At 45.0% G+C, this 12,776-nt stretch overlaps 1 protein-coding gene across 1 annotated transcript in view, besides 1 other annotated feature; it reads right to left on the bottom strand.

Moving 5' to 3' along the window:
- The window catches only part of CBFA2T2 (CBFA2/RUNX1 partner transcriptional co-repressor 2), a 159,935-nt gene that overhangs the window by 129,062 nt on the left and 18,097 nt on the right, over positions 1-12,776 (bottom strand). The window lies entirely within an intron of this gene.
- Positions 3,061-3,825: an enhancer, noted in NCBI's record as "H3K27ac-H3K4me1 hESC enhancer chr20:32104950-32105714 (GRCh37/hg19 assembly coordinates)". NCBI's record gives its function as "activates a minimal SCP1, AML or CMV promoter by ChIP-STARR-seq in primed H9 embryonic stem cells {active_cell/tissue: H9 hESC(primed)}" and the evidence as "EXISTENCE:reporter gene assay evidence [ECO:0000049][PMID:30033119]".

Raw genomic sequence — 12,776 nt, 5'->3', positions numbered from 1 at the left:
GGCAGGTGAAAGTGTGTGTGTGTGTATGTGATGGCAGGTGAAAATGTGTGTGTGTGTGCGCGTGCGTGTGTAAAAACAGTGATTATTTCCTGAACAAATAAACGAAAACACTCATGAGTAACAAATGATTTTATGCCATAGTCCACGAGTTAGTTTGAACGTTGAAAAGTTATTTAAGATATTTCTTTTTTTCATTTTTGAGATACAGTCTTGCTCTGTCACCAAGGCTGGAGTGCAGCGGCATGATCTCAGCTCACTGCAAACTCTGCCTCCCAGGTCCAAGCAATTCTCTGGCTCAACCTCCCAAGTAGCTTGGAATACAGATGCGTGCCACCACACCCAGCTAATTTTTGCATTTTTAGTAGAGACTGGGTTTCACTATGTTGGCCAGGCTGGTTTCGAACTCCTGACCTCCAGTGATCCACCTGCCTTGGCCTCCCAAAGTGCTGGGATTACAGGTGTGAACCACCAAACCCGGCCTACTTAGGACAGTTCAATAGCTTATCAAAAAAGTAGTATATGTTAGAAGTTAGAGATGCCCCAGGACTGCAGTAATATACAGATATGAGAGCTTGGTTACCAAGACAATATAGCATTATGAGGTATATAAAACAAGGCAATCAAATGAAAGATATATTCCTCAAGTTTAACATAAAATCAGACATCTGCCTCTCCTCCCTACCTCAGTGAGCGTTAACTGATCTCTTTCCTTAATAGTTTCTCAGTTATCTCCGTTTATCACTTTTATCACAAAGTTTGTGCTATATCAAAATAGTTTTTCCTCCCCATAACTCTTCAGCCAACTAGATTTTTGTTTGTTTTTTGAGACGGAATTTTGCTCTGTTGCCCAGGCTCCAGTGCAATGGCGTGATCTCGGCTCACCACAACCTCTGCCTCCCAGGTTCAAGCGATTCTCCTGCCTCAGCCTCCCGAGTAGCTGGGATTAGGCACGAGCCACCATGCCTGGCTAATTTTTTATTTTTAGTAGAGATGAGGTTTCTTCCACATTGGTCAGGCTGGTCTCGAACTCCCGACCTCAGGTGATCCGCCTGCCTCGGCCTCCCAAAGTGCTGGTATTACAGGCGTGAGCCACCGTGCCCGGCTCAGCCAACTAGATTTAGATGGTCTTTGTCAGGTTTAGACACCCTCTGAGACACCAATGCTCCTCAAAGGAGTCTTCAGGTTACCTCTAAGAGAATTATTTAGGAACCCTGCTGCTGAAAATGAAGATTCCTGGACCCTACCCCAGACCTTCCAGGATTTAAAAATCCAGGGGGTGAACCTACATTTCACAAGCTTCCCAGATGATTAGAATACACACCAAGGTGTATACCATACACAGAGTTGTCCCTGAGTATCCACGGTAGACTGGTGCAAGGAATCCGTGTGGATACCAAAATCCACCAATGCTCAAGTCTCTTACGTAAAATGGTATAATATTTGCATATAACCTACCCATACCTCTAATACTCTTTATTTAAATAATTTATTTATTTTCTGAGACAGAGTCTCGCACTGTTGCCCAGACTGGAGTGCAGTTGAGCAATCTCGACTCATTGCAACCACCACCTCCCGGGTTCAAGCGATTCTCCCGCCTCAGCCTCCTGAATAGCTGGAATTACAGGCATATGCCACTGCACCGGGCTAATTTTTGCATTTTTAGTAGAAATGGGGCTTCACCTTGTCGGCCAGGCTGGTCTCGAACTCCTGATCTCAGGTGATCTGCCCATCTTGGCCTCCCAAAGTTCTGGGATTACAAGCATGAACCATGGTGCCCAGCCACAATCTGTATATTTTTTTTCCTGAATAGTTGCGATCCATGGTTGGCTGAATTCATGGATGCAAAACCCACAGAAACAGAGGGCCAAATATTATTTTTCTTTCCTTAATCATTATTTAATAGAAACCTACATTTACCAGTTGAATTCACCTTCATTATTTGAAAACTGAGACAGCCCGTCTCTACTAAAACTACAAAACTTAGCTGGGCATGGTGCTGTGAGCCTGTAGTCCCAGTTGCTTGGGAGGCTGAGGGAGGAGAATCGCTTGAACCCGGGAGACGGAGGTTGCAGTCAGCCAAGATCGCTCCAGTGCATTCCAGCCTGGGCAACAGAGCCAGACTCCGTCTCAAAAAAAAGAAGAGAAAGAAAAAAAGAAAACCAAGACACAGATAAATTCACTTTTTTTTTTTTTTTGGAGAAGGAGTTTCGCTCTTGTTGCACAGGCTGGACTGCAATGGCGTGTTATCAGCTCACCGCAACCTCTGCCACTCGGGTTCAAGAGATTCTCCTGCCTCAGCCTCCCAAGTAGCTGGGATTATAGGCATGTGCCACCATGCCCAGCTAATTTTTTTTTTTTTTTTGTATTTTTAGTAGAGGGAGTTTCTTCATGTTCATCAGGCTGGTCTCAAACTCCCGACCTCAGGTGATCCACTCGCCTCAGCCTACCAAAGTGTGGGGATTACAGGAGTGAGCCACCGTGCCTGGTCTGACAAATTCATTTTCTGTTTGGTTTGGTCTGCTCTGTTTCCAACAAGAGCCTACTTCATTATCTCCCCAATATATCTACCTAGTCCATAGACTGGCTCAGAGCAGGCCTTTGACAATATTTAATTTTATCCCACAATGGCATTTCAATTCCTTTGTCATTCTGAGAAAAATACTAACAGCATGGGAATTTGGTGCATGGATCATTAACAGTAAGACATTAAAATCAAAATGTAGGCAGGATGCAGTGACTCACGCCTGTAATCCCAGCACTTCGGGAGGCAAGGCAGGCGGATCATGAGGTCAGGAGACCGAAACCATCCTGGCTAACACAATGAAACCCAGTCTCTACTAAGAATACAAAAAATTAGCCAGGCATGGTTGCACGTGCCTGTAGTCCCAGCTACTTGGGAGGCTGAGGCAGGAGAATCACTTGAACCTGGAAGGTGAAGGTTGCAGTGAGCCGAGATTGCACCACTGCACTCCAGCCTGGGTGACAGAGAGAGACTCTGTCTCAAAAAAAATAAAAGCAAAATGTAAGCTGGGCACGGTGGCTCACGCCTGTAATCCTAGCACTTTAGGAGGCCGAGGCGGGTGGATCACAAGGTCAGGAGTTTGAGACCAACCTGGCCCACACAGTGAAACTCCATCTCTACTAGAAATACAAAAAATTGGCCAGGTATGGTGGCACACACCTGTAGAACAAGCTACTCGGGAGGCTGAGTCAGGAGAATTGCTTGAACCGGGAGGCGGAGGTTGCAAGCAAGTCTCCGTCTTCAAAAAAAAAAAAAAAGGCAAAATATAGCAGCCTAGCCAACCTAGGCTCTACTAACCAAACCAAACCTTATCTCTACTAAAAATACAAAAAAGCTGTGCATGGTGACATTCACCTACAGTCCCAGCTACTCAAGAGGCTGAGGCACAAGAATCACTTGAGTGATTGAGCCGGAGATTGCAGTGAGCCAAGATCACACCACTGCACTTTAGTCTGGACAACAGAGCGAGACTCTGTCTCAAAAAAAAAAAAAAACACCAAAAAAACCAAAAAAACCAGTCCTATGAATTAGTTTACAATAGTGGAAATAATCACCAAAATACCTTGATGGCAATAATGAGCTGAAAATTGGCAAGGCTTCTGTGGATTTAGGCCTGCAGAGCTTGATCTACCTGAAGCTTTTCTTCCCATATGTCATGAATAACAGAAAGGACTTATTTTCATTTCCAGCACAGCTCTGTCTAGTTACAGAACTGAACTTCACAGGTTCATTAATTCCTTTTTCCACTTTCAGGCAGATAGAGAAACATCATCTCCTATAACCACAGGTAATTGGTAGATCTGCAAGAACTAACTGCTCCAAAATGGATGACTCTGCACTTTCTGAGAAAGGGAAAAGGATGTGAATGGTGCTTGGCAACATCATGAAGCAGTCCATCACATATCTGCTTTTATTTACAGAGCATTTAGAAAGTTCTCTGAAAGGTGTGATCTCACTACTAAAGGCATCTCACTACTAACACTGAGCAAATCAATATCGAATGTTGCTGTTGTTCATAAAATCTGTTCCAAGGCACTTAAAACAACAGAAGAGATAAATGTCTTCACTACTGTTTAAAGCAAAGATCTTCTAGAATAGTTTTGTGTCCTTCCCATCTGACTGTAAATTATAAAAACTGCAAAGTATTATGTACAGTATCATTCCATTTAGAAAAAACACTGCGTGAGTATTACAGATGTGTATAAAGGTATACCAAAAAGCCTGAAAATATACAGAAACTTTCAGCGATGAGGTGAAAGAGAATTTTTACTTTTTACTATATTTGCTAGGCATTTTTAAAGAATGTCTTGGCTGGGCATGGTGGTTCACACCTGTAATCCCAGCACAGGGTTTCACCATGTTGGTCAGGCTGGTCTCGAACTCTGGACCTTGTGATCTGCCCACCTCGGCCTCCCGAAGTCTAGGATTATAGGCGTGAGCCACTGCACCTGGCTATAGTTTTTTATTTTTATATTTTAAGATGGAGTCTCACTCTGTTGCTCAGGCTGGAGTGCAGTGGCACGCTCTCAGCTCACTGTAACCTCTGCCTGCTAGGTTCAAGGGATTCTCCTGCCTCAGCCTCCTGAGTAGCTGGAATTACAGGCATGCACCACCACACCCAGCTAATTTTTATATTTTTAGTAGAGATGGGGTTTCACTATGTTGGCCAGACTGGTCTCGAACTCCTGATCTCAGGTGATCTGCCCGCCTCGGACTCCCAAAGTGCTGGGACTACAAGTGTGAGCCACCATGCCCGTCTGACGCTGTAGTTTTTAAATTATTGTTCATTTTTTGAATTTATTTTTACATTTTTGAGGCCGGGTCTTGCTCTGTCTCTCAGGCACAGTGCAGTGACATGATCACAGGTCACTCCAGCCTCAACCTCCTGGGCTTAGCCTCCTCCTGCCTCAGCCTCCTGAGTAACTGGGATTACAGGTGTGCTACTGGCTAATTTTTCTTATGTTTTGTAGAGATGCATTCTTGCTATTTTGCTCAGGATGGTCTCAAACTATTCTTCTGTGTTGTCCTCCCAAAGGGCTGGGATTACAGGTATGAGCCTTCTCGACACTGTAATTTTTGAAAGCTATCTTTAGGAAAGTAATTATAAGATATTCCCCCCGCCCCGTTTTTTTTTTTTTTTTTTTTGAGATGGAGTCTCCCTCTTGTGGCCCAGGATGGAGTGTAATGGCACAATCTCGGCTCACTGCAACCTCTGCCTCCCGAGTTCAAGTGATTCTCTTGTCTCAGCCTCCCAATTAGCTGGGATTACAGGTATACGCCACCATGCCCGACTAATTTTGTATTTTTAGTAGAGACAGGGTTTCGCCATGTTTGTCAGGCTGGTCTCAAACTTGAGGTCTCTGACCCACCCACCTCAGCCTCGCTGGATGACAGAGTGAGACTCCATCTCAATAAAAAAATAAAAATAAAAAACTATAGTGTCAATGCAGAACACTACAGAATAAATAATAGGTAGATATTATAGCATAAATAACATTATCCCTCATTGAGCAGGATACCACTATTTGGCCAAGGACACGTTTTCCGTCACCCAGGCTGGTGTGCAGTGCCACACTTTTTTTTTTTTTTTTTTTTTGAGATGGAGTCTTGCTTTGTCACCCAGGCTGGAGTGCAGTGACACGATCTTGGCTCACTGCAACCTCCACCTCCAGGTTTCAAGCAATTCTCCTGCCTCAGCCTCCCAAGTAGCTGGGACTACAGGCGCCTGCCACCACACCCAGTGAATTTTTCTATTTTTAGTAGAGACAGGATTTCACCATGTTTTTGCTAGGCTAGTCTCAAACTCCTGACCTCAGGTGATCCACCCGCTTCGGCCTCCCAAAGTGCTGTGATTACAGGCGTGAGCCACCAAGCCCGGCCAACAGTAACTTCTTAATTCACATTCCTACCTCCTCCCTTGATTCACTAGGTGTTTTCTCTAAAAGCAATCTCTTAGACCCAGTGCAGTGGCTCACGCCTGTAATCCCAGCACTTTGGGAGGCCAAGGCGGGCGGATCACAAGGTTAGGAGTTCAAGAACAGCCTGGCCAACACAGTGAAACCCCATCTCTAATAATTAAAAAATCAGCCAGGTGTGATGGCAGGCACCAGTAGTCCCAGCTACTCGGGAGGCCGAGGCAGGAGAATCACTTGAACCTAGGAGGCGGAGGTTGCAGTGAGCAAGACCCCACCATCGCACTCCAGCCTATAGGACAGAGCAAGACTTTGTCTTTAAAAATAATAATAATAAAATAAATAAATAAATAAAAGCAATCTCTTTAAAAGGTAAAGGGGATAATGTCACCCTCCTGCTCAAAACTGATTTCATTCAGCAAATCCAAAATCCTTACCATGACCCCAAATGCGCTGTGTGCTCTGGCCCCCATCTACCTCCCTGACATCAGCTTTTCGCTCCATCCCCTGCTCCAGCCATGCTAGCCTCCTTGGTGCTCTTTAAACATATCAAGCATGTTCCTACCTCAGGGCCTCAACACCCGCTATTACCTTTGCCTGGACTGCTCCTCTCCAGACATGGTGAAACCCCGTCTCTACTAAAAATACAAAAATTAGCTCGGTGTGGTAGCACACACCTGTCATCCCAGTTACTGGGGAGGCAAAGGCAGGAGAATCGTTTGAACCCAAGAGGTGGAGGTTGTAGCGAGCCGAGATCGCACCACTGCACTCCAGCCTGGGTGACAGAGTAAGACTCTATCTCAAAAAAAAAAAAAAAAAAAAAAAAAACAAAGGCAGGGCACGGTGGCTCACGCCTGTAATCTTAGCACTTTGGGAGGCCAAAGCAGGTGGATCACCTGAGGTCAGGAGTTCGAGGCCCGCCTGACCAACATGGTAAAATCCTGTCTCTACTAAAAATACAAAAAAAGTAGCCAGGCATGGTGGCCGGTGCCTGCAATCCCAGCTACTTGGGAGGCTGAGGTAGGAGAATTGCTGGAACCCAGGAGGCAGAGGCTGCAGTGAGCCGAGATCGCACCACTGCACTCCAGCCTGGGCAAAAGACCCCCTCTCAAAACAACAACAACAACAAAAAAAAACACAAAACAAAAAACAGCAAGTACTTATCAACACCTAAATATATTAAACAGGTACAACATTCTTTTTTTTTTTTTTTTTTTTCCTGGGACAGAGTCTTACTCTGTCACCCGGCCAGTAGCGCAGTTGCGCAATCTTGGCTCACTGCAATCTCTTCCTCCCGGGTTCAAGCGATTCTCCTGCCTCAGCCTCCCAAGTAGCTGGGATTACAGGCACCTGCCACCATGCCCCAGCTAATCTGGCCAGGTGCGGTGGCTCACGCCTGTAATCCCAGCACTTTGGGAGGCCAACGCAGGCGGATCACAAGGTCAAGAGTTCGAGACCTGCCTGGCCAACATGGTGAAACCCCGTCTCTACTAAAAAATACAAAAATTAGCTGGGCGTGATGGTGGGCACCTGTAATCCCAGCTGTAATTGGGAGGCTGAGGCAGGAGAATCGCTTGAACCTGAGAGGTGAAGGTTGCAGTGAGCTGATACTGTGCCACTGCACTCCAGCCTGGGAGACAAGAGTGAGACTCTATCTCAAAAAAAAAAACCAAAAAAAAAACAAAAAAACCCATTACGGTCTATGAAAGCAGCACTGTTTTCTTCACGACTGTATGCCCTCTACCTATCTCACAAAGCAGAGGCTCTTCAAAAAGGTTAAACATTAACAACAGCAAGTTGTTAGTCTGGAGAGGATGTGTAATAAATGGAACTCTCACAGACTGCTGATGCAAGCATTGGCTGATAGAACAACTCTGGAAAACTTTGACAGCAGCAGCATCTACTAAAGCTGAACATATGCACACTGTATGTCCCTCCAATCCCATTCCTAGGCATACACCCAACAAAAAGACATACATACGTGGCCGGGTGCGGTGGCTCACGCCTGTAATCCCAGCACTTTGGGAGGCCAAGGTGGGTGGATCACAAGGTCAGGAGATCGAGACCATCCTGGCTAATGCAGTGAAACCCTGTCTCTACTAAAAATACAAAAAATTAGCTGGGCTTGGTGGCAGGAGCCTGTAGTCCCAACTACTTGGGAGGCTGAGGCAGGAAAAAGGCTTGAACCCAGGAGGCGGAGCTTGCAGTCAGCCCGAGATCGCGCCACTGCACTCCAGCCTGGGCAACACAGTTGAGACTCCGTCTCCAAAAAAAAAAAAAAAAAGACATACATACGTGCACCCACATACACAGAAGAATGTTCCCTGCAGCGTTATTCCTAATAGTCCAAAACTAGAAACAATCAGAATATACCTCAACAGCAGAATGGACCGACTGTGGTATATTACTGTGGCAAAACCCTAGACAGAAATTTGAGAATGGACTATTATTACTAACACAAGATCATGTATCATTACTGTTGAGCAAAAGAAGCCAGATATGGAAGAATGCACATTATATGACTCTTTATATAAAGTTCAAAAAGAATAAAGCAAAACTAATGAATGGTGATAGAGGTCAGGATAGTGGTTACCCCTTGGAGAAGGAGGGACAGTGACTGGCAAGTAAGAAGGTAGGCTTCTGAAGTGGTTGCTGTTAATGTTTTCTTTTACTTTTTTTTTGTTGAGAGGGAGTCTCGCTCTGTCGCCCAGGCTGGAGTGCAGTAGCCCCATCTTGGTTCACTGCAACATTTGCCTCCCAGGTTCAAGTGGTTCTCCTGCCTCAGCCTCCCGAGAGGCTGGGATTAACAGGTGCACACCGCCTGCACACCGCCATGCCCGGCTAATTTTTGTTTTTTGAAGACAGAGTCTCGCTCTGTCGCTGGCCTGGAGTGCAGTGGCGTAGATCTCAGCTCACTGCAACCTCCCCCTCCCGGGTTCAAGCGATTCTCCTACCTCAGCCTCCCACGTAGCTGGGCCTACAGGCGCATGCCACCACGCCCAGCTAATCTTTGTATTTTTAGTAGAGGCAGGGTTTCACATGTTGGCCTGGCTGGTCTCAAACTCCTGACCTCAAGTGATCTCCCTGCCTTGGCCTTCCAAAGTGCTGGGATTACAGGCGTAAGCCACTGTGCCCAGCCTTCTTCTTCTTGAGACAGGGTCTTGCTCTGTAGCCCAAGCTGGAGTGCAGTGGCATGATCATGGCTCACTGCATCCTCAGAACTCCTGGGCTCAAGTGATCTTCCTGCCTCAGCCTCCTGAGTAGCTGGGACTACAGGCATGCACCACCATGCCCTAATGCTTTATTTCTTGATCTACATAGTAGCTACACAGGTATGATCACTTTGTGAAAATTCACTGAGCTGTACATTTATGATTTATGCATTTTGTCTATTTAATAAAAAGTTTATGGCCAGGCATGATGGCTCACACCTGTAATCCTTTTGGAAGACAGCCTTTTTTCTGTTACTTTTCTCTTTACATAAACCATTTTTTTAAGAGTTTTGCTCAAATAGCATGGTACTGGTACCAAAACAGATATATAAACTAATGGAACAGAACAGAGGCCTCAGAAATAAAACCACACATCTACAACCATCTGATCTTTGACAAACCCGACAAAAACAAGAAATGCGGAAAGGATTCCCTATTTAATAAATGGTGCTGGGAAAACCGGCTAGCCATATGTAGAAAACTGAAACCGGATCCCTTTCTTACACCTTATACAAAAATTAATTCAAGATGGACTAACTACTTAAATATTAGACGTAAAACCATAAAAACCCTAGAAGAAAACCTAGGCAATACCATTCAGGACACAGGTATGGGCAAGGACTTCATGACTAAAACACCAAAAGCAATGGCAACAAAAGCCAAAATTGACAAATGGGATCTAATTAAACTAAAGAGCTTCTGCACAGCAAAAGAAACTACCATCAGAGTGAACAGGCAACCTACAGAATGGGAGAAAATTTTTGCAATCTATCCATCTGACAAAGGGTTAATATCCAGAATCTACAAAGAACTTAAACAAATTTACAAGAAAAAAACAAACAACCCCATCAAAACGTGGGTGAAGGATATGAACAGACACTTCTCAAAAGAAGACATTTATGCAGCCAACAGACACATAAAAAATGCTCATCAACACTGGTCATCAGAGAAATGCAAAACAAAACCACAATGAGATACCATCTCACACCAGTTAGAATAGCGATCATTAAAAGGTCAGTAAACAACAGATGCTGGAGAGGATGTGGAGAAATAGGAATGCTTTTACACTGTGGGTGGGAGTGTAAACTAGTTCAACCATTGTGGAAGACAGTGTGGTGATTCCTCAAGGATCTAGAACTAGAAATACCATTTGACCCAGCGATCCCATTACTGGGCATATACCCAAAGGATCATAAATCATGCTACTATAAAGACATATGCACAAGTATGTTTATTGCGGCACTATTCACAATAGCAAAGACTCGGAACCAACCCAAATGTCCATCAATGATAGACTAGATTAAGAAAATGTGGCCGGGCGTGGTGGCTCACGCCTGTAATCCCAGCACTTCCAGAGGCCGAGGCGGGCGGATCACGAGGTCAGCAGATTGAGACCATCCTGGCTAACAACTGAAACCCCGTCTCTACTAAAAATACAAAAAAAATTAGCCGGGCGTGGTGGAGGGCACCTGTAGTCCCAGCTACTCGGGAGGCTGAGGCAGGAGAATGGCATGAACCCGGGAGGTGGAGCTTGCAGTGAGCCAAGATAGCGCCACTGCACTCCAGTCTGGGCGACAGAGCGAGACTCTGTCTCCAAAAAAAAAAAAACAAGAAAAAAAGAAAAAGTGGCACATATACACCATGGAATACTATGCAGCCATAAAAAACAATGAGTTCATGTCCTTTGCAGGGACATGGACGCAGCTGGAAACCATCATTCTGAGCAAACTATCACAAGGACAGAAAACCAAACACCGCATGTTCTCACTCACAGGTGGGAATTGAACAATGAGAACACTTGGACACAGGGCAGGCAACATCACACCCCGAGGCCTGTGGTGGGGTGGGGGGCAGGGGGCAGGATAGCATTAGGAGAAATACCTAATGTAAATGACGAGTTAATGGGTGCAGCAAACCAACATGGCACATGTATACCTATGTAACAAAACTGCACATTGTGCACATGTACCCTAGAACTTGTATTTAAAAAAAAAAAAAAAGAGTTTTACTCTATCTCCCAGGCTGGACTGCAGTGTTGTGATCTCAGTTCACTGCAAGCTCCGCCTCCCACGTTCAAGAGATTCTCTTGCCCTAGCCTCCCAAGTAGCTGGGATTACAGGAGCCCACCACTATGCTCAGCTAATTTTTGTATTTTTGGTAGAGACGAGGTTTCATCACATTGGGCCAGGCTGGTCTCAAACTCCTGACCTCAAATGATCCACCCACCTCGGCCTCCCAAATTGCTGGGATTACAGGTGTGAGCCACCGTGCCCAGCCAGGACCTTTTCAAATAAGGAAAAATTTAGACATCTGTTACCGACAGATTATTTCCCCAAAGGTTTCCTTTTAAAAACATCATTATTTAGGATAAGTTTAATAAAATCTGAAGCCTTGTTTTCCCCCTTAATCTTGGGATCTGAATCAGTGTGTCGTGTTCTTTTTATTTTTTATTTTTTGAGAGGGAGTCTCGCTGTGTCGCCTAGGCTGGAGTGCAGTGGTGCAATCTTGACTCATTGCAACCTCCACCTCCAGAGTTCAAGTGTTTCTCCTACCTCAGCCTCCCAAGTAGCTAGGACTACAGGTGTGTGCCACCACACCCAGATAATTTTTGTAATTTTAGTAAATAAGGGATTTCACCATGTTGGCCAGGCTGGTCTCAAACTCCTGACATCAGATGATCTGCCCACCTCAGCCTTCCAAAGTGCTGGGATTACAGGTGTGAGCCACCACACCCAGCCAAGTCTGACATATTGTAATATTTAACTGGCATGAATTATCTGCTTGTTTTCCCTATAACTAACTGTGAAGAGGGTTCACATGTAAACGACTGATCTGGCAAATGAATAAATGTACAAAGAAATCCTTTCTTTAAAACAAGTAAGTTTGTGCTCCACACACGGCCAAACTCTCATACAATAAATTAACTCTTCAGCAGCCTCCAAGCTAAAAAGCTGAAATCAAACCAATTAAGTTAAGCCCTAATGGGATCCCAATTTCCTACTTCTGATAGCAGAAGTTTAAATAAACCCCTCTTGTCTTATAAATGCAGCCATAAAAAAGAAGATCATGTCCTTTGCAGCAGGGACATGGATGGAACTGGAAGCCATTATCCTTAGCAAACTAACATGGGAAAAGAAAAGCAAATACCGCATGTTTTCACTTACAAGTGGGAGCTAAATGATGAGAACACATAGACATATAAGAGGGGAACAAAACACACTGGAGCCTATGGGAAAGTGGAGGGTGGGAGGAGGGAGAGGATCAGGAAAAATAACAGGTACTAGGCTAATACCTGGGTGAGGAAGTAATCTGTACAACAAACGCCCATGACACAAGTTTACCTATGTAACAAATCTGCACATGTAGCCCTCAACTTAAAAGCTAAAAAAACAAACAAACAAAAAAATACAAGCATAAAAACAAAGGCAGGCGGGGTGCAGTAGCTCACACCTGTTCTCCCAGCACTTTGGCAGGCCGGGGTAGGCAGATCACTTGAGCCCAGGAGTTTGACACCAGCCTGAGCAACATGGTGAAACTCCATCTCTACCAAAAACACAAAAATTAGCCAGGTGTGGTGGCGCACACCTGTAATACCAGCTACTTGGGAGGCTGAGGCAGGAGAATCACTTA

This window comes from Homo sapiens, chromosome 20, assembly GCF_000001405.40.
Source record: "Homo sapiens chromosome 20, GRCh38.p14 Primary Assembly".
Taxonomy (NCBI): Eukaryota; Metazoa; Chordata; class Mammalia; order Primates; family Hominidae; genus Homo; species Homo sapiens.
This window is presented reverse-complemented; position numbering and strand designations above follow the sequence as displayed.